Raw genomic sequence first — 26,410 nt, 5'->3', positions numbered from 1 at the left:
GAATGTGTTTGCTCTTGCTTTTCTAGTTCTTTTAATTGTGATGTTAGGGTGTCAATTTTGGATCTTTCCTGCTTTCTCTTGTAGGCATTTAGTGCTATAAATTTCCCTCTACACACTGCTTTGAATGCGTCCCAGAGATTCTGGTATGTGGTGTCTTTGTTCTCGTTGGTTTCAAAGAACATCTTTATTTCTGCCTTCATTTCGTTATGTACCCAGTAGTCATTCAGGAGCAGGTTGTTCAGTTTCCATGTAGTTGAGTGGCTTTGAGTGAGATTCTCAATCCTGAGTTCTAGTTTGATTGCACTGTGGTCTGAGAGATAGTTTGTTATAATTTCTGTTCTTTTACATTTGCTGAGGAGAGCTTTACTTCCAACTATGTGGTCAATTTTGGAATAGGTGTGGTGTGGTGCTGAAAAAAATGTATATTCTGTTGATTTGGGGTGGAGAGTTCTGTAGATGTCTATTAGGTCTGCTTGGTGCAGAGCTGAGTTCAATTCCTGGGTATCCTTGTTGACTTTCTGTCTCGTTGATCTGTCTAATGTTGACAGTGGGGTGTTAAAGTCTCCCATTATTAATGTGTGGGAGTCTAAGTCTCTTTGTAGGTCACTCAGGACTTGCTTTATGAATCTGGGTGCTCCTGTATTGGGTGCATAAATATTGAGGATAGTTAGCTCCTCTTGTTGAATTGATCCCTTTACCATTATGTAATGACCTTCTTTGTCTCTTTTGATCTTTGTTGGTTTAAAGTCTGTTTTATCAGAGACTAGGATTGCAACTCCTGCCTTTTTTTGTTTTCCATTGGCTTGGTAGATCTTCCTCCATCCTTTTATTTTGAGCCTATGTGTGTCTCTGCACGTGAGATGGGTTTCCTGAATACAGCACACTGATGGGTCTTGACTCTTTATCCAACTTGCCAGTCCGTGTCTTTTAATTGCAGAATTTAGTCCATTTATATTTAAAGTTAATATTGTTATGTGTGAATTTGATCCTGTCATTATGATGGTAGCTGGTGATTTTGCTCATTAGTTGATGCAGTTTCTTCCTAGTCTCGATGGTCTTTACATTTTGGCATGATTTTGCAGCGGCTGGTACCGGTTGTTCCTTTCCATGTTTAGCGCTTCCTTCAGGAGCTCTGTTAGGGCAGGCCTGGTGGTGACAAAATCTCTCAGCATTTGCTTGTCTATAAAGTATTTTATTTCTCCTTCACTTATGAAGCTTAGCTTGGCTGGATATGAAATTCTGGGTTGAAAATTCTTTTCTTTAAGAATGTTGAATATTGGCCCCCACTCTCTTCTGGCTTGTAGGGTTTCTGCCGAGAGATCCGCTGTTAGTCTGATGGGCTTTCCTTTGAGGGTAACCCGACCTTTCTCTCTGGCTGCCCTTAACATTTTTTCCTTCATTTCAACTTTGGTGAATCTGACAATTATGTGTCTTGGAGTTGCTCTTCTCGAGGAGTATCTTTGTGGCGTTCTCTGTATTTCCTGAATCTGAATGTTGGCCTGCCTTGCTAGATTGGGGAAGTTCTCCTGGATAATATCCTGCAGAGTGTTTTCCAACTTGGTTCCATTCTCCACATCACTTTCAGGTACACCAATCAGACGTAGATTTGGTCTTTTCACATAGTCCCATATTTCTTGGAGGCTTTGCTCATTTCTTTTTATTCTTTTTTCTCTAAACTTCCCTTCTCGCTTCATTTCATTCATTTCATCTTCCATTGCTGATACCCTTTCTTCCAGTTGATCGCATCGGCTCCTGAGGCTTCTGCATTCTTCACGTAGTTCTCGAGCCTTGGTTTTCAGCTCCATCAGCTCCTTTAAGCACTTCTCTGTATTGGTTATTCTAGTTATACATTCTTCTAAATTTTTTTCAAAGTTTTCAACTTCTTTGCCTTTGGTTTGAATGTCCTCCCGTAGCTCAGAGTAATTTGATCGTCTGAAGCCTTCTTCTCTCAGCTCGTCAAAATCATTCTCCATCCAGCTTTGTTCTGTTGCTGGTGAGGAACTGCGTTCCTTTGGAGGAGGAGAGGCGCTCTGCGTTTTAGAGTTTCCAGTTTTTCTGTTCTGTTTTTTCCCCATCTTTGTGGTTTTATCTACTTTTGGTCTTTGATGATGGTGATGTACAGATGGGTTTTCGGTGTAGATGTCCTTTCTGGTTGTTAGTTTTCCTTCTAACAGACAGGACCCTCAGCTGCAGGTCTGTTGGAATACCCTGCTATGTGAGGTGTCAGTGTGCCCCTGCTGGGGGGTGCCTCCCAGTTAGGCTGCTCGGGGGTCAGGTGTCAGGGACCCACTTGAGGAGGCAGTCTGCCCGTTCTCAGATCTCCAGCTGCGTGCTGGGAGAACCACTGCTCTCTTCAAAGCTGTCAGACAGGGACACTTAAGTCTGTAGAGGTTACTGCTGTCTTTTTGTTTGTCTGTGCCCTGCCCCCAGAGGTGGAGCCTACAGAGGCAGGCAGGCCTCCTTGAGCTGTGGTGGGCTCCACCCAGTTGGAGCTTCCCTGCTGCTTTGTTTACCTAAGCAAGCCTGGGCAATGGTGGGCACCCCTCCCCCAGCCTCGTTGCCGCCTTGCAGTTTGATCTCAGACTGCTGTGCTAGCAATCAGCGAGATTCCGTGGGCGTAGGACCCTCTGAGCCAGGTGTGGGATATAGTCTCGTGGTGCGCCGTTTCTTAAGCCGGTCTGAAAAGCGCAATATTCGGGTGGGAGTGACCCGATTTTCCAGGTGCGTCCGTCACCCCTTTCTTTGACTCGGAAAGGGAACTCCCTGACCCCTTGCGCTTCCCAGGTGAGGCAATGCCTCGCCCTGCTTCGGCTCGCGCACGGTGCGCACACACACTGGCCTGCGCCCACTGTCTGGCACTCCCTAGTGAGATGAACCCGGTACCTCAGATGGAAATGCAGAAATCACCCGTCTTCTGCGTCGCTCACGCTGGGAGCTGTAGACCGGAGCTGTTCCTATTCGGCCATCTTGGCTCCGAGGGTATATTTTTATTTGTGGTGGATTTAACAATTAACCACATGTATGGGCAACTTCATGTCTTCTTAAGTGAAAAATAAGGGGCAAATGTAGATTATGGATTCTAAGGGTACCACTGTCACTCAACTACCAGTTGGAACTGAACATTGAAATTTACCTCCTATTTTGCACTGTGGAATAAAGAGGAATTTGCCAGCAAGAATAAAGTCCTCTAAATGACCACCTTTTGGTAGAATGTTGTTTCTCTGGATCAGCATAAATGCAAATGAAGTTATTATTACAGAACTGTCTCAAACATTAGCAACTGTATAGCTGATTCTACTGCAAAGGCTATAGCTATCCAGAACGCTTCTTTAAATTCTTTTGCTAACGTTGTTTTAGATAAGAAGATTGCTTTGGACTACCTTTTGGTGGGTGTATGTGATAGCCTACACTTCTTGCTGCAGTTTGATAAATATGTCTGATATGCTGGAGACTCAGTTGCAAGAAATTACAAACAAACTATTTGATCATAACTAGATTTGTCTTCTGGCTCATTTTGTATCTATATTATTTTAATTAATTTTGTTCATATAGGCTCCTATTAAGAAGCACATTTTAGTCTCTTGGTATTATCCTGCCGAAAGTCATTACAGTAGTCTCACTATTGTGCTATATTCTCTCAAATGTCATAGATGTTTGCGTGCAGCCATCCACAGTGTGTCACATGGTCTCTCTGTCGTTAGAGCAAGATACTGTAAAGTGGTCATATTGACCTAACATCATGAACTGTGAATTCCACACTGAGACCAAGCAAGCCCATTATGATGATGACAGAGACTGGCATCAATGCCCAAATTTTTGGTCAATCTCTCAAAACTGAAAGACTGACCAAAAGGAACAAATTGTCAAATTAACTTAAATTTGGCCTGAGGCTGCCTTCGTACATAAATCCCTATACAGTGAAATAAAAGATAACTGAGTATGTAAACAAACTGACACCTAACTTAGGAGTATAACCAACAACTGAGTTTCACCTAGTCACAAGCAGGTGAGCTTCAGTCAATTATAGGCAGCCAATTCATCATGCAATGCCCATTAAGGCAAATGCCTCATCCCACCATGACCAAGTAACGCAGATTCCTAGCGTAGCCAATCAGGTGATTTATTTATTTTGCTTTTGTGTTGGGTTTATGAAACATCTCTGTTCCCACTGTTGAATAGAGTTTGTTGACCCTTTTCTGGTTCTGATTGATGCCTAGTTCATGAACCATTCTTTGCTCAAATTCTGCTACATTAATTTGTCTTTTTTCCTTAAGCACGTATAAATTAAAACATAATAATAATAATACAGAGAAAAAGCTGTCATTTTTATTATCTGTTAAGAATGTGTACCTTCTTCAAAATGTAATGGAATACAATCAATCTATTAACTTTTTCTGAAATTATACTTTAATTTCAGGGATACATGTACCCAACATGTTGGTTTGTTATGTCTGTATACATGTGCCTTGGTGGTTTGCTGCACCCACCTACTCGTCATCTACATTAGGTATTTCTCCTAATGCTAGCCCTCTGCTAGCCCCCTAGCCCCTGACAGGCCCCAGTGTGTGATGTTCCCTTCTCTGTGTCCATGTGTTCTCATTGTTCACTTCCACTTATGAGTGTGAACTTGCAGTTTGGTTTCCTGTTCCTGTGTTAGTTTGTTGAGAATGAAGGTTTCCAGCTTCATCCATGTCCCTGGAAAGGACATGAACTCATCCTTTTTTATGGTTGCATAGTATTCCATGGTGTATATGTGCCACATTTTCATTATCCAGTCTATCATTGTTGGGCATTTGGGTTGGTTCCAAGTCTTTGCTATTGTGAATAGTTCTGCAATAAACACACGTGTGCATGTGTCTTTATAGTAGAATGATTTACAAACTTTGGGTATATACCCAGTAATGGGATTGCTGGTTCAAATGGCATTTCTGGTTCTAGATCCTTGGGAAATCGCCACACTGTCTTCCACAATGGTTTAACTAAATTACACTCCCACCAACAGTGTAAAAGCATCCCTATTTCTCCACCATCCTCTCCAGCAACTGTTTCCTGACTTTTTAATGATCGTCATTCTAACTAGTGTGAGATAGTATCTCATTGTAGTATTGATTTGCATTTCTCTAATGACCATTGATGATGAGCTTTTTTTCATGTGTTTGTTGGCCACATAAGTGTCTTTTTTTGAGAAGTGTCTTTTTAATTTTTTATCTTCAAAGAGAATTTAATATACGTATAAGTCCAAATAAAATTCATCAAGGGAAACGTGTTTGTCTTTCACTTCTAAGTGTTTACAATCTAAAACAAGTATGACATTAGAAGCTTCCAATTATTTCAATATAAATTAATATTTTAGTATTATTTTAATTTTAATAAATTTCAACACTAGTTTATTCAATTATAATAAATTTTAATATTGATTTGCTGCTGTGGCTCATTTTGTACATTAACTCATTGTCCTTTTAAAATTTTGTCTGCTTTCCTATGTATACTACACTGGATTTCCCAAGCTCCCCTGTAGATAAATGTAGGCATAACACAGTTCAGACCAATGAGAAGAAAACAAACCTGCTGGTATTGCTTCGTGTAACATTTTGTTTCTGTCCTTCTAACATGAAGATATGACATGTGTGGATACAAATCATTTTGCCTTTCCAAATACTTGAAATCACTCCCTTTGCTCAAAATGTATTATGACTAAAAATGTGAACTTCAGAAACCCAGAACAAACTGAGCCAGGGTTTTACTCCCAGAAATTCAAATCCTCTGTGTATTGACACAGAAAATTTAGCTCATGTTATAACAGCTATCTCATAAACAGGATGTGATATGAATCAGAAAAACAATACATTAATGAAGAATTGGACCTCTAAAAGACTTTTGGTCTAGGTTTTTCAGCAGCAGTCTCAGCTTTGAATGTTCCCTGTAGACAGTTTATTTCATCAGTCTGATACTCGCCTATGGTTTGCTATTATATTAGAATTTTCTAATACTTAGGAAAGAGTGCATTTCTAAAGGCTGAATTTGTCATTAATATGATCTATGCATAATGTATGAGATGGTTATATATGTATGTGCATATCTGCACATATGCTATACGTGTTTAAGAGTTGCGTTATATATACATGGAACAACAAAATTTACCTATATGAACCTAAAAGGTACCAGATATAAGCATAACCTTTACTATAAGTGCCAGCTAAATCACCATTCCATTCTTGTATTACTGTTTCATTAATCAGAAATGCACATAAAAGTAGTAGCTGCTAATTCTGTATATAAGAAGATAAGCTAATGCAAATGTTGTTTTAACAATAGAAAATAATAATTATTGTAACATTGCTAGAATTATTTTTATTTGTCTATACTCCAAATAATATGCAAAATGCTTTGCATGCATTGTTCCCAATAATCTGTCCAATAAATAGAAGATGAATCATTTTTAAAATGATTTTTTGAGTCTCACACAGTTTAAACAACTTGATGAACTAGATGGCAGACATTTCATTTTAGGCAGCTTTATTTGATTCCAAAGCTCAATTTCATTAGGCTGCCCCCATTTCCTAAGATGAGGTGCTTCTATCATCAAGCTTATGAGTTTTCCCGAACAAGGTATATAGGTTCTATATCATGTCTTTCTTTCAAATAACTCCCTGCACATCCACATTTACATTCTACCTCTATCTAGCAGTTGGGGAAAGAAATATCTTTAGCAATTCTAATATTTCAGGACTCTGTATTAGTCAGAAGTGAAAGTTGAAATAATTAAATCTAGATGACGAAGAGGAAGAGGAGGAGAAAAAAGGAGGAAGAGGAGGAGGAGGAGCAGAAGGAGGAGGAAGAGAGTTGGGGGAGGAGAGAGAAAAGCCAATAAAAATTAAAATTTCCAAAATGTAAAATCTATTTCTGCCTTTTTTTTAAACACTTGTGTGGCTGTGGGCAAGTGATTTAATTGTTTTCAAACAGTATTAGCATATTTAAATTGAATAGGATTGCGTAGTTAACCTCAGAACTCTTAATTTTTAAATCCCAAAATTAAGTATTTCTCAAACAATACCACAATGTGTGGATACAAATCATTTAGCCCTTCCAAATGCTTGAAATAACTCCCTTTGCTCAAAATGTGTTATGACTAAAAATGCAAACTGCAAACAACCCAGAACAAACTGAGCCAGGGTTTTACTCCCAGAAATTCAAATCATCTATGTATTGACACAGAAAATATGGAGCTAGGTAATCAGAAACCTAAAGAAGCAATCTATTACTGTCTATGTGTCTAAATCCAGAATTATTTTTATTTCTAGCCTCCTAAATATCTGATTATTTCATATTTCTTTAATTTCATAGGATTTTCTTTTATATTTTCAATACATTTTTATTAACTTGTTGTAAGCAAAGATACACTAACATTACCAGTGCATATAACAATTAGAAATTCTGTGAATTGAGTATAAATTCCTTATTTTTATTATTTTAGTCTTTACTCAATATCAGCATCAGGAATAAACTTCCACTTATCCTCATTATTGCCCCACCATTCAGAAAGATGCTCTTTCTAATACAGGTACATTTTCTTTCAATATCTGTCTGAGTTGTCCTAGGATACTATTTAAATGCTATTTTAATACTCTCTTGATCATATTTCAGAATATGTTATCATGTATTTGCATAGTGTAATTTTCAGCATATAGTAAAAAAATCAGCTTACAGTGGAAAAATATTAAGTGACAATAGAAAATTAAAATAAAAGCAGTATTAATCACAAGAACCTTTACACGTGAAACTTTTTTTTTATTATTATACTTTAAGTTCTGGGATACATGTACAGAACGTGCAGGTTTTTTATGTAGGTATACATGTGCCATCGTAGTTTGCTGCAGCCATCAACCCATTATCTAGGTTTTAAGCCTAGCATGCATTAGGTATTTGGCCTAATGTTCTCCCTCTCCTTGCTTCCAACCCCTCAAGAGGCCTTGATGTGTGATGTTCCACTCCCAGTGTCCATGTGTTCTCATTGTTCAAGTCCCGTGTATGAGTGAGAACATGTGGTGTTTGCTGTTCTGTTTCTGTGTTAGTTTTCTGAGAATGATGGTTTCCAGCTTCATCCATGTTCCCGCAAAGAACATGAACTCCTCCTTTTTTATGGCTGCATAATATTCCATGGTGTATATGTGCCACATTTTCTTTATCCAGTCTATCATTGATGAGCATTTGGGTTTGTTCCAAGTCTTTGGTATTGTGAACAGTGTTGCAGTAAACGTTTGTATGCATGTGTCTTTATAGTAGAATGATTTATACTCCTTTGGGTATATATCCAGTATTGGGATTGCTGGGTCAAATGGTATTTCTGATTCTAGATCCTTGATGAATCTCCACACTGTCTTCCACAATGGTTGAACTAATTTACACTCCCACCAACAGTATAAAAGCATTCCTATTTCTCCACATCCTCTCCAGCATCTGTTGTTTCCTGACTTTTTAATGATCACCATTCTAACTGGCGTGAGATGGTATCTGATTGTGGTTTTGATTTGCATTTCTCTAATGACCAATGATGATGAGCTTTTTTTTATGTTTGTTGGCTGCATAAATGTCTTCTTTGAGAAGTGTCTGTAGATATCCTTTGCCCAGTTTTTGATGGGGTTGTTTGCTTTTTTCTTGTAAATTTAAGTTCACAGTAGATTCTGCATATGAGCCCTTTGTCAGATTGATAGATTTCAAAAATTTTCTCCCATTCTGTATGTTGCCTGTTCACGCTGATGATAGTTTCTTTTGCCGTGTAGAAGCTGTTTAGTTTAATTACATCCCCTTTGTCAATTTTGGCTTTTGCTGCAATTGCTTTTGGTGTTTTAGTCATGAAATCTTTGCCCATGCCTATGTCCTGAATGATATTGCCTAGGTTTTCTTGTAAGGTTTTTATGGTTTTATGTCATACATGTAAGTCTTTAATGCATCTTGAGTTAATTTTCATATAAGGTGTTAAGGAAGTGTCCCAGTTTCAGTTTTCTGCATATGGCTAGCCAGTTTTCCCAACACCATTTATTAAATAGGGAATTATTTCCCCATTGCTTGTTTTTGTCAGGTTTGTCAAGGATCAGATGGTTGTAGATGTGTGGTGTTATTTTTCTGAGTGTTCTGTTCTGTTCCATTGGTCCCTAAGGACTTCTTCCTATCTCATTTTCTGAAGCCAGCATCATCCTGATACCAAAACCTGGCAGAGACACAACAAAAAAAGAAAGTTTTAGTCCCATGTCCGTGATGAACATCAATGCAAAAATCTTCAATAAAATATTGGCAAACTGAATCCAGCAGCACATTAAAAAGCTTATCCACCACAGTCAAGACGGCTACATTCCTGGGATAGAAGGCTGGTTCAACATACGCAAAATAATAAATGTAATCCATCACATAAACAGAACTGATGACAAAAAAAAACATGATTATCTCAATAGATGCAGAAAAGGCCTTCAATAAAATTTAACACCGCTTCATGCTAAAAAACTATCAATAAACCAGGTATTGATGGAACGTATCTCAAAATAAGAGTTATTTATGACAAACTCACAGCCAGTATCATACTGAAATGGCAAAAGCTGGAAGCATTCCCTTGGAAAACTGGCAGAAGACAAGGATACCCTCTCTCTCCACTCCTATTCAACACAGTATTGGAAGTTCTGGCCAGGGCAATCAGGCAAGAGAAAGAAATAAAGTGTATTCACATAGGTAGAGAATAAGTCAAATTATCTCTGTTTGTAGATGATATGATTGTATATTTAGAAATCCCCATCATATCAGACGAAAAACTCCTTAAGCTGATAAGCAAATTCAGCAAAGTCTCAGGATACAAAATCAATGTGTAAAAATCACAAGCATTCCTATACACCAATAATAGAAAAACAGAGAGCCAAATCATGAGTGAATCCCCATTCACAATTGCTGCGCAGAAAACAAAATACCTGGGAATACAACTTACAAGGGATGTGAAGAACCTCTTCAAAGAGAACTACAAACCATTGCTCAAGGAAATAAGGGAGGACACAAACAAATGGAAAAGCATTCCATGCTCATGGATAGGAAGAATCAGTATCGTGAAAAATATCATACTGCCCAAAGTGATTTATAGATTCAATACTATTCCCATCAAGATACCGTTGACTTTCTTCAAAGAATTAGAAAAAAAAAACTACTTTAAACTTCATTTGGAACCAAAAAAGAACCAAGACAATCCTAAGCAAAAAGAACAAAGCTGGAGGCATCATGCTACCTGACTTCAAACTATACTACAACTCTACAGTAACCAAAACAGCTTGGTACTAGACTCATGGAAAAGAACCTTAACACGTGAAATATTTTAAAATATCTGTAGAGAAGAGAAAGATTTTTCTATCCATGACGGAGAGAAATTGAGATAGACTCCGTTGATCTGCATACAACATTTAAGAATTAAATTAATATTTATTGGGTGAATATTATGAACTAAATGTTGTGTCCCATACAAATTCATATGTTGAAATTTTAACCCCCAATATGTGGTATTAGGAGGTAGAGCCTTTAGGAGATAATTAGGTCATGAGTGTGGAAAACTCATGAACGGGATTAGTCTTGCAAGAAGAGGCAAGAGATCCAGCTTGCTCTCTTTTTGCAAGAAAATAGAAAATATATATGAGGACACAATGAATAGCTGGCAGTCTGCAAACAGGAAGAAGGCCATGACCCAGCCACACTGGTCTTAGCATTTTGGACTTCTAGCTTTCGGAACTGTGAAAGATATTTATTTGTTGTTGTTTATTAACTGTCCATTCTGTGATACTTTGCTATAATAGCTCAAACTAAGACAGTGAATGATTAAAGGAATGGATGAACAGATGGTGAAGACAGTAGAAATGTAAAAGTTACTCATATATGGATAGACAGGGTCTTAGCAATGGCAAATGGACCATATGTAAAATTAAATAGAAAGTTCAGATCTCTATCTGGTAGCTAACAGCCAATGAGGGAGGGGACAATAAAGAAAATTCAGTTATTCACATGGAAGGTGGAGATGATATGATAAATATCTTCGTTGTGGAGAAAATATTTCAAGATCTCAAATAGAATTAAAGACAAGCCAAAAAATAGTACAGTAGGAACCAAGGCTAGAGAAAGTATGTCAAAGAATGGTCCTTACCTCATTCATTGCCCTTGATTTTCCTCCTAAACAGAAGTTGTCTGGTTAATATATCCTGTCAAAATACCAAAGAATTTGAAATTGATAAATAAACGACTGATGAAGATTCTTTCCTTGTCTTTATTGTAATCACCTATGATAAAGTCTTTTTATTTTTTGAAATGCCTTATATAATTATACATCATTATATCATGCAGTTAATATAAAGTGTATTTAAAATCTAATCAATAAAATTTTCTTCAGTAACCAGAAAAGTATCTCTATTTGGATTTTTTGGATGATCATATGTTTCTTTTCAGGTACTACTATTAACTAAATAATTAGAATGTGCCATGGAGTAAATCTAATGCTTTGTCATTCTTTTCTTTTATTGCCTTTATTTTCAGAAGATAAATTATTCCCCAAATGTACAAATATTTCTTGTAAATAGTCACCTATTCATTTCCCATGAAAGACAGAATAATTTTACTCTTATTATATTCATTTTTAAATACAAACATTATAAGCTCCCCATTATGTCCACAGAATTGTAATCATTTTTTTCTTTTTTTAGTTTTTAGATTGATGCTTTGTTGGTTTTTAAAAGAGCTGGGACTATGTGAAGACATCTGTATTTTATATATTATTTTATTTTTCTTCTGTAAAGAATAAGCTGAATTGGAAACAAAATTAGCATAGACCTTTCATTAACTACAGTACATTGCCTGTTGGATACCACTCTCAGCAACTTTCCATGAGGGACTATTACAAATTATAACTCTAATTTTTTATGCCCTTGGAGAAATAAGCCTAATAGGTTGTACAAACTTATTTTTATTTAGAACGCTAGTTTAAAAATAAGAAGTATGTAATACATGTTAAAGAAACTAACGCATGCTTATCTATCCAGTACTTTTTGAAAGTGATGAGATATTGAATCTCATCTGTTTCTTTTGTTGAAAGACTCAGAAAAAAATATTTACTACTGGGATCCTAAAAATATCAGTCAAGAAGGTAAGGGAAGATAGAGACTATTGCATTTTGCAGATATAGATATAGATATAGATATAAATTTAGTTTTAAATGTGACTGGTGCTTTGTAATTGTTTATGGAATCTTATTTTTCCAAATGCAAATATATATATAGGACTGAATCGCAGAAAGGTTACAGTAGCAACCTTTGTTTTTAAAATGGTTTACTGCTTTTAAAAATAACATTTTTATATATTGTTTAATTTGCTACAATAACCCTGTGAGGTCTTCATAACTTCAAACTCAAGAAAGCATTTACCAATTATATACAGAAGAGATAGGCTTGGATTTAAAGATAAAATGAGAAGGGGAAATGCTACTACTAGTGCCTTTAAACTGCTACTATAGACAAGAATGGTTCTAAACATGGTATGTTACATTTGTCATTGAATACAATTCTTCAAATCCATAGATTTTCAAATTTTAATCTTGAGAATCCTGAAGTCCAAGAAGAAGATAGAATATTGTTAATACCTGGTGAAGCTGGAATTAGATCAGTCTATTTAAAGTCAATCTTTTCACTATAGCACACTAACTGTAGATATCAGGAAAATACATGCATATTTGTAATTGCTCAATTTACATGTAAAAATATTACTTTAGAAAGTAATTTCTAAGAAGAAAGAATAAAGAAGGAGATTCAGGAAAAAAAACCATGTATTTGACTATAGTTATTGTCTCTCCATTTCTATTTCCATGATCATGGACATTAAAGATAAGCCTGAGGGTCAAGAAATTATCTAGGTTAATAGTCGTTAACTTTGGGGCTGCAATTAAAAACAGTTTGTCCGAGGCAGGCCCAGTTTGTCTACATTAAAATAAAATTATCTATGTGTATCAAATTCACGTATTTAATTGAAAACTATTGGTCTAATTTATCTTAAATGCTTAAGCTACTGTTTTGTCTGAGAGAAAGTGAATAGGTTTATTTTTAACCAATACATCTATAAAAATTAAGACCTGGCCGGGCGCGGTGGCTCACGCCTGTAATCCCAGCACTATGGGAGGCCGAGGCGGGTGGATCACGAGGTCAGGAGTTCAAGACCAGCCTGGCCAGGTTGGTGAAACCCTGTCTCTACTAAAAATACAAAAATAATTAGCCAGGTGCGGTGGCAGGTGCCTGTAGTCCCAGCTACTCGGGAGGCTGAGGCAGGAGAATTGCTTGAACCCAGGAGGCAGAGGTTGCAGTGAGCCAAGACTGCACCATTGCACTCCAGCCTGGCGACAGAGCTAGACTCTGTCTCAAAAAATAATAATAATAAAATGAAATAAATTAAAAATAATAATATATAATAAATAAATAAAAATTAAGACTTTACTATGAGTCAAGCAGAGCTGTAAAGTGGTAAATGCTTTTATCCACATGACTTAAAAATTCCCATTAAAACTTGATGAGGTTAGTATAATGATTACTTTTATTTCATGAAGGAGTTTATGTAGCTTCCCCAAGATCACAAAGATCATACGGAATGAACCCAGTATAGGAAACTATGCAGTGTTCTTAAATACTAGAAGGCAAAGTTTAATATAGATGTGGAAACAAGGGAAATAAATCATACTGCTAAGTCAGCCATGTATATGGAAATGTCCTTGGATGTTTACTGGAAAATTACCCTTATGATTATTCTAAAGACATACTGTATTAAGTATAATGTAATATCAATCAAAATATAAACTTTTGGATATTTCTAGTTTGTTAAATATTTCATTTTCTTTCAAATATTTTCAGTTAATTTTAATATCTAGATGTAATGAAAAAATTTTAGTAACTTTGAGAATTGGTTATATACCTAAAATGTTTTAATATACTAACGCCTTCCCAATTACTCATATGCTAAGTTCTATGGAAGACCTCCACATTCTCTAGAAAGGCATTCTCTTGTGACAGTTCTAGCAATCCAAAATAATGATTCTGAAAATTCATGAGTACTTCTCAATTTCTTCCCTATGTTATATTGTATAAAGTGCTGTATAAAGTTCTTCTCAGAGGGGAAAAGTATGCACAGGAATATGGACTGCATAGAGAGAAAAATACATCAATTTATGTAATAAAGCAAGCACTCTGCTTACCACCATTGGGTGAGAATTTTTTAAAAAGTATGGAACTTCCCTCAACTTAAAAAACAGTAATGTACAATTCTTAATGGTGCTTACATTTCTAAATATCATTTAATCAAATTTTGATTATTAACTTTAAAGAAAATAATATTTTACAGACTCTTTTTAATCTTATGCATAAACGTCTCTGGGAAATGTTGGTTAATCATAGGCTGTACTGGCATGATCTTAGATTTTCCCTCGGCAACCCATTTCAGCTGTGAGCACATTATTTACTGCTCAGTTTTGTAATTATTTGGTCAATTTTTGCCAGTATCTACAGTGAACATACTTTGAGATTAAAAATTCTATAATTTTATTGTTGGGCATTCATCTACTAAATGTGTCTGATATTTGTGGCTTGACTATTATGGGTCTTATTTCTCTTCTGCTTTAATTTGAGCAGACCTTCTATACTTTCTTTATTCCTAGAATAATATTCCTTCTTTTAGCTGATAAATATGTTGTTATACCTGCATATAAAAGCAGTGCCTGGCACATAATAGTTATGTAATTAATATTTGTTGGCTGATAGAGGCCATAAAGTATGTGCAAAAATACAGTTCCTTTTTTATATTATATTTATATTATTTTTATATTATATTTATATTATTGTATTGTATTTTTATGTTATTGTATTAGTATATTTAAATACATTAAATCTCATGTTTTGACAATTTTTAAAAATAAAAAATTATTTAAGTCTTCTAGGTATATAATCTAAGATGGGAGCTTAAATGTCAGTGAAGCAAAGAACCTGCACTTGGCTTTAGGTTAGTGCCAGAGAAAAAGTGAATATAGGCATTGAGGATAGAAAAAGAGAAAATTTAATTTTTCTCAGAAGAAAGTTAAAATCATTGTTCTTTAAAGAATTCTCAGGGAAAGGAAAAGTATATGCTTATTCAACTCATTTAGTTTATGGGCACATAATATTTTATGCCAACATATGTACCCCATATATTACAAAATGTCAATATTTTTAATATTTTTTATTGGACTGTAAGTGATACATGACTATAAAATACCTGCCTTATGTAGTATAGTATCTTCAATATAAAAAGAAGGACTGCCATGTAACAGGTATGGAGTAGGTAGTTGCTGAGTAATCAACGAGTAAAGTTTTATATTTATGGAATGTAGTTAATGGGCAATGGTTCTGATACAATATTTATTGGTAAATAATTACAACTGAATGTAATTAGAGATATATCTAGTTTTGGAAGCATTTACTTTTCATACATTTTAACATTATGAATTCTTTATTTGTAGTACATAATCCACATATATACTGAAATCTATGTATTTAGTAAGTGTTACATACTACTAAAATCAAACCTAAAGTTTTTGTACGATGGACATCTTTATGTGTACAGATGTATAGAAAGATTGTAGATGGTCTACTAGAACTGTTGCTTGTCAACCTGTTTAGCTGTGTCTCCAGTTAATTCCTTTATCTTACATTAAGTTCTAGCGTAGTAAGCATTGTGCAGTGATGCGTATGTATTCTTTTCTTTTGTCCCTGTGTACTTACATGCTTGGTTCTCTCTCTCCATTTATCCACTTCTCAATCTTTTATTGTCTTCTCACAAGTGACATCAATCTGAGCTGCTTATTATGACACAGAATCAGGGAATTAATAAGATAAATCATACAACTTTAAATTGTTTTTACTTTTTTCTTGTGCCATTTTTCTAGCAGTGGTTAACAATTCCAAGTGTCACTGAATCAGTAAATAATTTCAAAATAAAATAACTGGAATCAAAATTATATAAAAATGAATGAAGCAGGATTGATCCTCTAGCTAAGTTTTGCCACAAAGATGATTGTCAATTTTCAGTAACAAAAGTATATGATCTAAGAAGTGTTAAATATTGCCTGTCAGGTTCTTTGTTGTTTTTTTCTCTGGCAACAATTTCAAATTGTGAAATGTTGATGTTTTTTATGTGACTAATATTATTTACCAGCCTTTCTCGTTAAATGTAGAAGGGATGGAAAAAATGAAGCCTAGAGCAGTGGCAACTACAGTTGACCTTGAAAAGTGTGAGTTTAAATTGTGTAGGTACACTTATATATGATTTTTTAAAATAAATTTATTGGAGAATTTTTGGGTATTTGCAACAATTTGAAAAATCTCACAGGTAAACTGTGTGGCCTAGAAATATTGAAAAGGAATGTGAAAGTTAAGTATGTCATGAATGCATAAAATGTACATAGATACTAGTCATATGTATCTATTTGATCATTTACACAAATCTACTATAAAAAGTTAAAATTCATCAAAACTTACAAACACAGATGACACGTATTGCCTTTTGAAGTGGAGAGAAATGTTAACAAATTTAAAAATGCAGTATGAAATCATAATTGCATAAAATTAACTGAAGTACATACTGTCCTACTGTAATAATTGGTAATAAATGTTGTATCTGTTTAAACTTGTGTGACATTAATCCCTTAACATAAAATTTGTCTCTCCTGTAAATTGTGTGCTGTAGTAAAAAGTAATATCTCATGAGTATCATGTATTTATCAATGTGTTTAGTGCAATACCATGAACTTTGACTAAAATCATTGGATTCATAGAAAGTGCCACTAGTGATGCTGTAAGTGCTCTGAAGAAGCAGAGAAAAGTAAAGTAATGACACTGCAAGAGAAAGTTGAATTGCTTGATATGCACCATTGATTGAATTCTGCATCTATAGCTGTTCACCATTTTAAGATAAATGAATCCAGTGTAAGGACCATTGCAATAAATGAATAAATAAATAAATAAATAAATAAGTTTGTGACGTCTTCATTACAGCAAGTACGAGCACAAAACCTTGTACTTTTTTATGCAATACATTTTTGTCTGGTATTGAAAATTCAGCTTTTAGGCAGGTAAGGAATTGTTGTAAGAAAGGCATACCTGTGGACTATAATATGTTTTGAAAAGAAACAAAGTCATTATATGATAACTTAAGGCAAAAAAATAAGGTCAAGGATCTAAAGCTGGAGAATTTAACACCATCAAAAGACAGTTTGATAATTTTAGGAAGAAGTTTAGCTTTTATAAAAGTCAGGAAAACAGGATAAGCAGCTTTTGCTGACCCAAAAGCAACAGAAACCATTAAGAAAATCACTGAAGAGAAAGGATATCTGCCTGGACAAGTTTGTAATGCAGAAGAAAGTCATCTATTCTGGAAAAAAAAAAAGTACCACAAAAAAACATTTACTGGTATTGAAAGTAAGCATCAGAATTTAAGGCAAAAATGTAAAGGTTAACTTTACTGTTTTGTGCAAATGCAGTAGGATTTATGATCAGTACCACCCTTATCCATAACGTAGTCAGCCCTCAAGCCTTGAAAGAGAGAGATCTAGCTGCCAGACTTCTCACTGTAGAACAAGAAGGCCTGGACAATGAGAACACTTCTTCTGGATTAATTGTGTTGATGCTTTGTCCCTGAAGTCAGGGAGCCTCTTGCCAGTAATAAACCACCTTTTAAATTTCTTTTGATATTGGATAATGCTCCTGGTCACCCAGAATGACATGAGTTCAACACAAGTGTCAATGTGGTCTACTTGCTTCCATACACAATGTCTGTAATTAGAGCTCTAGATCAGGTGGTCATAAAGACCTTTAAAGCTCATTACACATGTGGGCCAGGCACAGTGGCTCACGCCTGTAATCCCATCACTTTGGGAGGCTGAGGAGGCGGATCACCTGAGGTCAGGAGTTTGAGACCAGCCTGACCAAAATGGAGAAACCCTGTCTCTACTAAAAATACAAAATTAGCCAGGCGTGGTGGCGCATACCTATAATCCCAGCTGCTCAGGAGGCTGAGGCAGGAGAATTGCTTGAACCCAGGAGGTGGAGGTCGCAGTGAGCCGAGATCGTGCCATTGCACAGCAGCAGCCTGGGCAACAAGAGTGAAACTCTGTCTCAAAAAAAAAAAAAAAAAAAAAAAAAAAAAACCTCCTTACACAGGTGACTCTAAGGAAAGGATTGTCAATGCTATAAAGAGAACTCTGAAAGAGAGGACATCATGAAAACTCAAAGTTTGGACAAATTACACCATTGAAAATGCCATCATTGTTATAAAAATATCCATTAAAGCCACCAAGCTCGAATCAATAAATTCCTGCTGGGGAAAATTGTGTCGAAATATTGTGCATGACTTCACAGAATTCACAAGAGAACCAATCAAGGAAATCATGGATGAAATTGTGGGTATGGAAAAAAAGGTGGGAAGTCATGAAGTGTTTCAACTATGGATTTTGAAGAAGTTCAAGAGCTAACAGAATTTTAGAACAGTGCCAGATGATGAGGAAGAATACATGGAAGAGGCAGTGCCAGAAAACAAATGGACATTAGACAATCTGACAGAAGAGTTTTGATTATTCAAGACTGCTTTTGACTTATTTTATAACATGGACCCTTCTATCATATGGGCACTAAAGCTAAAGTACACAATAGAAGAAGGATTGGTTCATATAGAAATATTTCTGGAAAAATAAAGACAAACATGTCAGACGAGTATTACAATGTATTTCTGTGACGTTACACCTCATATTCCTGCCTCCTCTTTCAGCTCCTCCATCTCTTCCTCCTCTGCCACCTCTGAGAAAACAATACCAACTCCTCTTCTTCCTCCTCCTCCTCAGTCTACTTAACATGAAGATGACAAGGATGAGGATCTTCATGATGATTCACTTTGTCATAAATATAAATATATTTTCTCTTATTATTTGTAATAACATTTTCTTATCTCTAACTTTATTGTAAGAATAGAGTATATAATACATATCACAAATAAAATTTGTGTTAATCAAAACATTTGAAAAATAAAACATGTGTTAAGTATTTGGTAAGGCACTCCTGTCTTCTTCTGCATTGTTGCAATAATCTCATAATCAGATTTATTGCTCCCAATCTTGCCTCCAAAGAGTCCATTCTCCACCCAAAGTGAAATGGGTAATTTTAAACTATAAGTGTTCATACTCAAATCTGTCACTAAATTTAAATTATTTTAAGTCAATGAGACTCCCCTAGACCTGGCTTCAATCTTAACAATTAAACTCATCTCCTCTCATTTGCTTTATTTCCCTTATTATACCCATCATTCCACAGCAAGTTTGATAGAGGCTTAAACTTTCTGTCTTTCCTGCATTCTCATCCAGAAATTCTCTTCTCTAATAAAACTACAAAAATAGTAAAAGTTATGTAATATGTATTTAGTAGCAGACACTAATCTATATGTTTTACAGGCATTAATTCATTTAGGCCTCATAACAATCTTGTGGAAATATACTATCATTCACCTACTTTCCAAATGGGAAAACTGAGACATACAATAAAGTAACTTTCCTATGTTCACACACTAATATCTGTATTTATCTGACGTGGCAAAATGGTATATAAAATAACTCCAAAATATCAGTTGCTGAGAGTAACAAAAAGTTTGTTTCTTGCTTTAGGTGTGGTGCAATTCCATTAGATGAAAGAGATCTACACATTCAGAAGCACATGATTCTTCCCCCTTCCATGATTCCAGTGGCCAATAGGTAATCAGAACTTCTCTGTTCAGCTAAAAGACAGAAAAAGAGCATATGAAAGACGTATTTTCCCAGAAGTGCTCATCCTGATAACTGTGTACAGCACTACTGCTCATATTCCATTGGCCAATATTTAGGTAGATAACTTCACTAACTACAAGGTATGCTGGGAAATAAAGTCCAGATATGTGTGACATTATGCTCCCCCTTTTTTTTTTACTTTCTATTCATTTTTTTCTTATCCCTTTGTTAGAAAGATTTTCCATGAACATAGAACTTAATATATCGAAAATCACCCTACCATTCACTGTGTAACCCTATGTGATTTTATTCATAACATTTATCACTAAACACAATTTATTTCATTTGTTTATTTTTATTATCTCTTTGTGTATGGGTGTGTGTGTGTGTGTGTGTGTGTGTGTGTGTGTATACTTGAAATGCAACAAAACAATACAATCATATCCAGCTGTTAAATTAATGAACAAGTAGAGTTGAGTACAACATGACCCAGCCATCCATATTTTCTGAGGCCTGGACAAAGCCAGTCCCCAAAATAAGACATTGACTGGTTTCAGCCCCTCATATCTGTAATCCCTTGATACTTCACCTGACACTTACTGAAATTATAAAACAAGCCACATCAAGTCTTGATAAAGAAAGTGTGGAACCCCTTTTCAAGGCTATTATATTTCAATGAAATGATTTTTTATATATTTATATTTTTACTTATCTATGTATCTAAGTTTCAGAAATTCTGTTAAAATGAAATATGTTGAATATACCAGCAAGCTGATTTTAGAGGAGCTAAATAATCTAAGAAGTATCTTCGTCTCACAATTTTGGCAAATTTAACCTCTGTGCTTTGCTATTTATTTAAATTACAATAATTTATGGTGTCTTACCAGATGTCTATTGTTATTTCCCATTAGGACAGAATGACATTAAGGTAATTGTGTATTTATAAAACAGAATGGGGGAAAGCAGAACAAGATGGCCAAATAGAATCTTCCAGTAATCATTCTCCCTGCAAGAACACCAAAATGAGTAACTATCCACATAAGAAAACATCTCCACAACAACCAAAAATCAGGGAAGCACTCACAGTACCTGGATTTAACATCATATCAAGGAAAGAGACACTGAAGGGGATAGACAAGACAAGCTTGAATTGCCTTCACCACCACTTCCCATGCCCCAGCAGAGGTGCAGAGAGAGAATCTGTGTGCTTGAGGGAGGGAGATTGCAGTTATTGTGGAACTTTGCATAGGAAATCAGTGCTGCTTGTCACAGCAGAAAGCATCATAGGGCAGAATTTATCTGGCACCCATGGAGGGAGCATTTATACCAGCCCTAGCCCCAGGGGAACCATCCATTCTAGTGGTCAAAACCCAAGTTCCAGCTGGCCACATGACCATGAGCTAAAGTGCACTGGGGTCTTAAATTTGAAAGTCAGTCTAAGCCAAAAGTACTACAATTCCTTGACAAATCCTTGTGCTGTGCTGTGCTTGGAACCGGTGGACTTGGGTTACACACAACATAGTGAGACACCAGCTGGAGCGACCAAAGGAGTGCCTGCATCACCCCTCCCTGAACCCTAGGGTAGTACAGCTCACAGTTCTGGGAAAGACTTCTTCCTTTCTCTTTCACTTTCTCTTGAGTAGAGAAAAGGAGAGAATAAAAAGGGCTTTATTTTGCAACTTGGAAACCAGCTCAGCCACAGTAGAATAAGGCACTAGGTAGGGTCCTGAGACTCCTTCCACCCCTAGCTCCTGGCTGACATTCGTAAACCTACCCTGGGCCAGAAGAGAACTTGCTGCCTTGAAGAGAAGGACCCAGGTCTGGCAGGATACATCACCTGCTGCCTAAATAACCCTTGAGCCTTGAATACCAATAGTAGCCAGGTATTAGTAGCCATGACCCTTGGATCCAATCCAGTGTGATGCTGGCTTTAGGTGTTATCCAGAATATTACAAACTGTGGTGGACACAAGGAGAGATGCTTTCTGCCCGAGAAAAAGAAAGGGAAGAGTAAGGGGACTTTGTCTTGCAGCTTGAGAACCAGCTCAGCCACAGTGAGTTGGAGAACAAAGTGTGCTCCTGAGATCACCACCAATTTGTGGCTCCTGGACAGCATCTCTAGACTTAGCTGTGGGCAAGTGGGGAACCCACTACACTTAAGGGAGATATCCAGGTGTGGCAGCATCTACAACAAACTGACTGAAAATGGCTTGGCCCTTAAATGAACATCAATGGTAGCCAGGCAGTACTTGCTGTGGGTCTGAGGCAGTAGTGGCAATGGGGAGAGACTCCTCCTGCTTGAGTAAAGGATAGAAAAGAGTGAGGATGACTTTGTCTTGTGGCTCGGGCACCAGCTCAGCTGCAATAGAATAGAGCACCAAGAGAATACTAAAGGCTCCTAATTTCAGGCGCTGGCTCCTGGATGCCATTTCTGGACATACCCTGGCCCAAGTAGAAGCTCACTGTACTGAAAGGGAGGACATAAGGCTTGGCTGAATTAGCCATCTGCTCATGGAAGAACACTTGAGCCTTGAGTGAACATAAGCAGTAGCCAGAAAGTGGTTGCCATGTCTTGGGTGAGACCCAGTGCTGTGTTGGCTTTGGCTCTAACTTATTGCAGTCGCAGTGGTTATGACCATAGGATTGCTTATATCAACTCTCCCACAGTTCCAGGCAGTTCAGCAGGGACAGAGAATCTTCATTTGTTTGGGGAAAAGTAAGGGAAGAGAAGAGTCTCTGTCTGGTAATCCAGATAAATATCTTTGATATTACCGAAGGCCATGTTGATGGTACATCTATCACTCTGCAAGACTAACATGTTACTGGATTTGGGGTGACCCGTTATGCAAATATGGCTCAAGTGATCAAAGAGTTATATCACTACACTGAATTCTCTTTGAATATTTGGAAAGCCTTCCCAGGAAGGATGGGTTCAAAGGAGCCTAGACTGTGAGGTCTACAATATATACCTAACTCTTCAATGCCCAGACATAGACAAACATCCACAAGCATTAAGATTATCCTGGAAACCATGGCCTTACCAAACAGACTAAATAAGGCACCAGAGGACCAATCCTGGAGTGACAGAGACATGTGAACCTTTTGGCAGAGAATTCAAAATAGCTGTTTTGAAAAAGTGAGCAATCTACAAAATAAATCAAGAAAGTAATTATATTCACAATAGCTACCAAGAAAATAAAATGTCTAGGAATAAACTTTACCAAAGAATTAAAAGATATCTATCATGAAAACTATAAAATATTGATGCAAGAAAATGAAAAGGACAGAAAAAAGGAAATATATTCAATGATCATAGATTGGAAAAATTAATATTGTTAAAATGTCCATATTACCTTAAGCAATCTACAGACTCGGTGAAATTCCTATCAAAATGCCAATGACATTCTTCACAGCAGTAGTGAAAGAAATCCTAAAATTTATACAGAACCACAAAAGATTCAGAATAGCTAAAACCATTCTGAGCGATAAAGTGTAAAACTGGAGAAATCACATAACCTGACTTCAAATTTTATGACATAGCCATAGTATTCAAAACAGTGTGATACTGGCATAAAAACAAATAGAACAATGACACTGAGTAGAGAATCTAGAAGTGAATCCATACATCTAGAGTGAACTTATTTTTGTCAAAGGTGTCAAGAACATACATTAAGGAAAGCAAGTCTCTTCAATAAATGGTACCGGGAAAACTGAATATTCATATGCAGAAGAATAAAACTAGGTGCCTGTCTCTCACCACATATAAAAATGAAACAAAAAAGGATTAAAGTTTTAACTGTCAGACCTCAAACTGTGAAACTACTGAAGTGGAAAAGTAGGGAAACTCTCTAGGATATTGGTTTGAGCAAAATATTTCTTATTACCTCAGAAGCAGAGGCAATCAAAGCAAAAATGAACATTTGAGATCATGTCAAGTTCAAAAGCTTCTGCACAGGAAAGAAAACAATCAACAAGATGAAGAGACAACTCAAAATCCATCTGACAAAGAATTAATAACCAGAATACATAAGGAGGTCAAACAATTCTATAGGAGAAACATCTGATGATCTGATTAAAAAACGGGCAAAGTATCTGAATAGACATTTCTCAATAGAAGACATAAAAAAGACCACCAAATATGAAAAAGTGTTCAATATTATTGATCATCAGGAAAATGCAAATCAAAACAATAATGATGTATCATCTCACCCCATTTAAAATGGCTTTCATCCAAAAGACAGGCAATAACAAATGCTGGCAAGAATGTGGAGAAAAGGGAACCTGTGTACACCATTGGTGGAAATGTAAATTAGTACAGCCACTATGAAGAACTGTATGAAAGTTCCTTAGAAAACTAAAAAAAATAACGAACATATGATCCAACAACCTCACTGGTAGATATTTACCCCAAAGGAATAAAATCAGTATATCGAAGAGGTATCAGCACTCCCATGTTTATTGCAGCACTGTTTACAATAACCAAGATTTGGAATCAACTTAAGTTTCCATCAACTGATGAACGAATAAAGAAAATACGGCACATATATGTAATGGAGTACTTATTCAGTCATAAAAATAATGAGATCCTGTCATTTGCAACAACGTGGAAGGAACTGAAGGGCCTTAAATTAAGTGAAATAAGCCAGGCACATACAGACAAGCTTCCTATATTTTCACTTATTTGAGAGAGCTAAAAGTTAAAATAATTTAACTCATAAAGACAGATAATACAATGATAGTTACCAGAGGCTGGGGAGTGTAGTGCAGGCTGGGCAGAAGTGAGGATGGTTAATGAGTACGAAATTATAGTTAAATAGAATAAATAAGATCTATTTATTGATAGCACAACAGAGTAATTGCAGTTGATAATAAGTTATTGTAAAGTTAAAAATAACTAAAAGAGAATAATTGAAATGTTTAGAATGCAAATAAATGATAAATGCTTCAGGTGATTAACCATTTACCCTAATGTGGTTCTTATTCAGTATATGCCTGTATCAAAATATCACATGTCCCATAAATATATATATGCCTACTATATAACCACAAAAAATAAAAAACAATTAATTTAAGAAAAGAAACAAAAAACCCAGGACAGGTTCTTCTCAAAGAGTCACTATCAGATTGGTTCCTAAGCACAGGAGAATAACATTTAAAATTAATATTTAGAGAAAATTGAAAGCTAAACATTTAAAATTTAAAGGTGAAGTTTTCATTAAAAATAATCTTTCACCCTATACTTATGTTGAAGACTTCCTTAATCTAGGTAGCTCTATCCCATTGAGCTGCCAATTATGTAACCAAGGCAACCAATAGTGCAGAAATATTAAATGTTAGATTGCCAAAGCATGTGAAAGAATTTCTCCCTCCCTATTTTTTTCTTTCTTTCTTTTATTTTTTCTTTTTTTTTGTTTAGACGGAGTCTCGCACTGTCTTCTGGGCTGGAGTGTGGAGTAGGGTGGTGCAATCTTGACTCACTGCACCTCCGCCTCCCAGGTTCAAGCGATTAAGTGGCTGGGATTACAGGTGCCCGCCACCACGTCCTGACTAATTTTTTTGTATTTTTAGTAGACACAGGGTTTCACTATGTTGGCCAGGCTGGTCTTGAACTCCCGACCTCATGACCCGCCTGCATCGGCCTCCGAAAGTGCTGGGATTACAGGCATGAGCCAATGTGCCCGGCTCCCTGTTTTCTTGACTACTGTCTCTGCTAACTGTGCTCATCTGCTATTCCTCTTTCAGGAACTCCTACTAGACCTGGTTGAAGTTTTCCATTTTATCTTACTTCCATTAACCTCTTTTGTGTGCTTTCTCTATCTCCATTTTATGTACTGTATTCTATGTAATTTGTGATTACTTAATATATTTAAAATCTTTAATTTAATATAATTAATATGTGTTAACATATTAATTTTAGTTTACTTAAAATTAGTTTCTCTACTTAAAATTCATGCCTACTTTTTTCATTTCTACATTTTCTGTTTGCTTGTTTATAACATGTTTAGTACTATACTGTGTAATGAGTCATAAACCATTTTACTGAATGCTTTAAATATGCTTATGTAGAAATGCATTTCTGGCTGCACTGTCACATGCTGTTTTGGAAGTATAAATTTGCCCGTGTATTTAATTTGCTGATTATCTTTCTTCTTTGGTTATTTTTATGTCTCTTCCTCAAAGAAGGTTTGTATGTGTGTATATGTGTAGCTTTACATATATCCTGAATATTGGCATTTCTGTTTAGAAGATTTTTGCATTTTTCTTTGGCTGAATTTAGTTAGTAAGAATGTTTTATTTAATTTTTCAGCTATGTGTTTCTGAACATTACTTTTTTTTCTTTTTCTCTTTCTTTCTTTTTCTTCTCTTCTCTTCTCTTCTTTTCTGTTTTGTTTTTTTTTGGACAGAGTCTTGCATTGTCGCCCAGGCTGGAGTGCAGCAGCACAATCTTGGTTCACTGAAACTTCCGCCTCCTGGGTTCAAGCGATTGTCCTGTCTCAGCCTCCCGAGTAGCTGGGATTGCAGGCATGTGCCATGACACCCAGCTAATTTTTGTATTTTTAGTAGAGACAGGGTTTCACCATGT

At 36.0% G+C, this 26,410-nt stretch overlaps 1 long non-coding RNA gene across 1 annotated transcript in view, besides 1 other annotated feature; it reads left to right on the top strand.

Moving 5' to 3' along the window:
• Positions 1-26,410, top strand: part of LINC01192 (long intergenic non-protein coding RNA 1192) — a 126,059-nt gene that overhangs the window by 63,385 nt on the left and 36,264 nt on the right. The window lies entirely within an intron of this gene.
• Positions 6,694-6,863: an enhancer, noted in NCBI's record as "experimental_66341 CRE fragment used in MPRA reporter constructs". NCBI's record gives its function as "activates a minimal promoter by MPRAs in K562 erythroleukemia cells, with activity observed for both the introgressed and non-introgressed 3:162950927 variant alleles {active_cell/tissue: K562}" and the evidence as "EXISTENCE:reporter gene assay evidence [ECO:0000049][PMID:34662402]".

This window comes from Homo sapiens, chromosome 3 (genome assembly GCF_000001405.40).
Source record: "Homo sapiens chromosome 3, GRCh38.p14 Primary Assembly".
Classification (NCBI taxonomy): Eukaryota; Metazoa; Chordata; class Mammalia; order Primates; family Hominidae; genus Homo; species Homo sapiens.
This window is presented reverse-complemented; position numbering and strand designations above follow the sequence as displayed.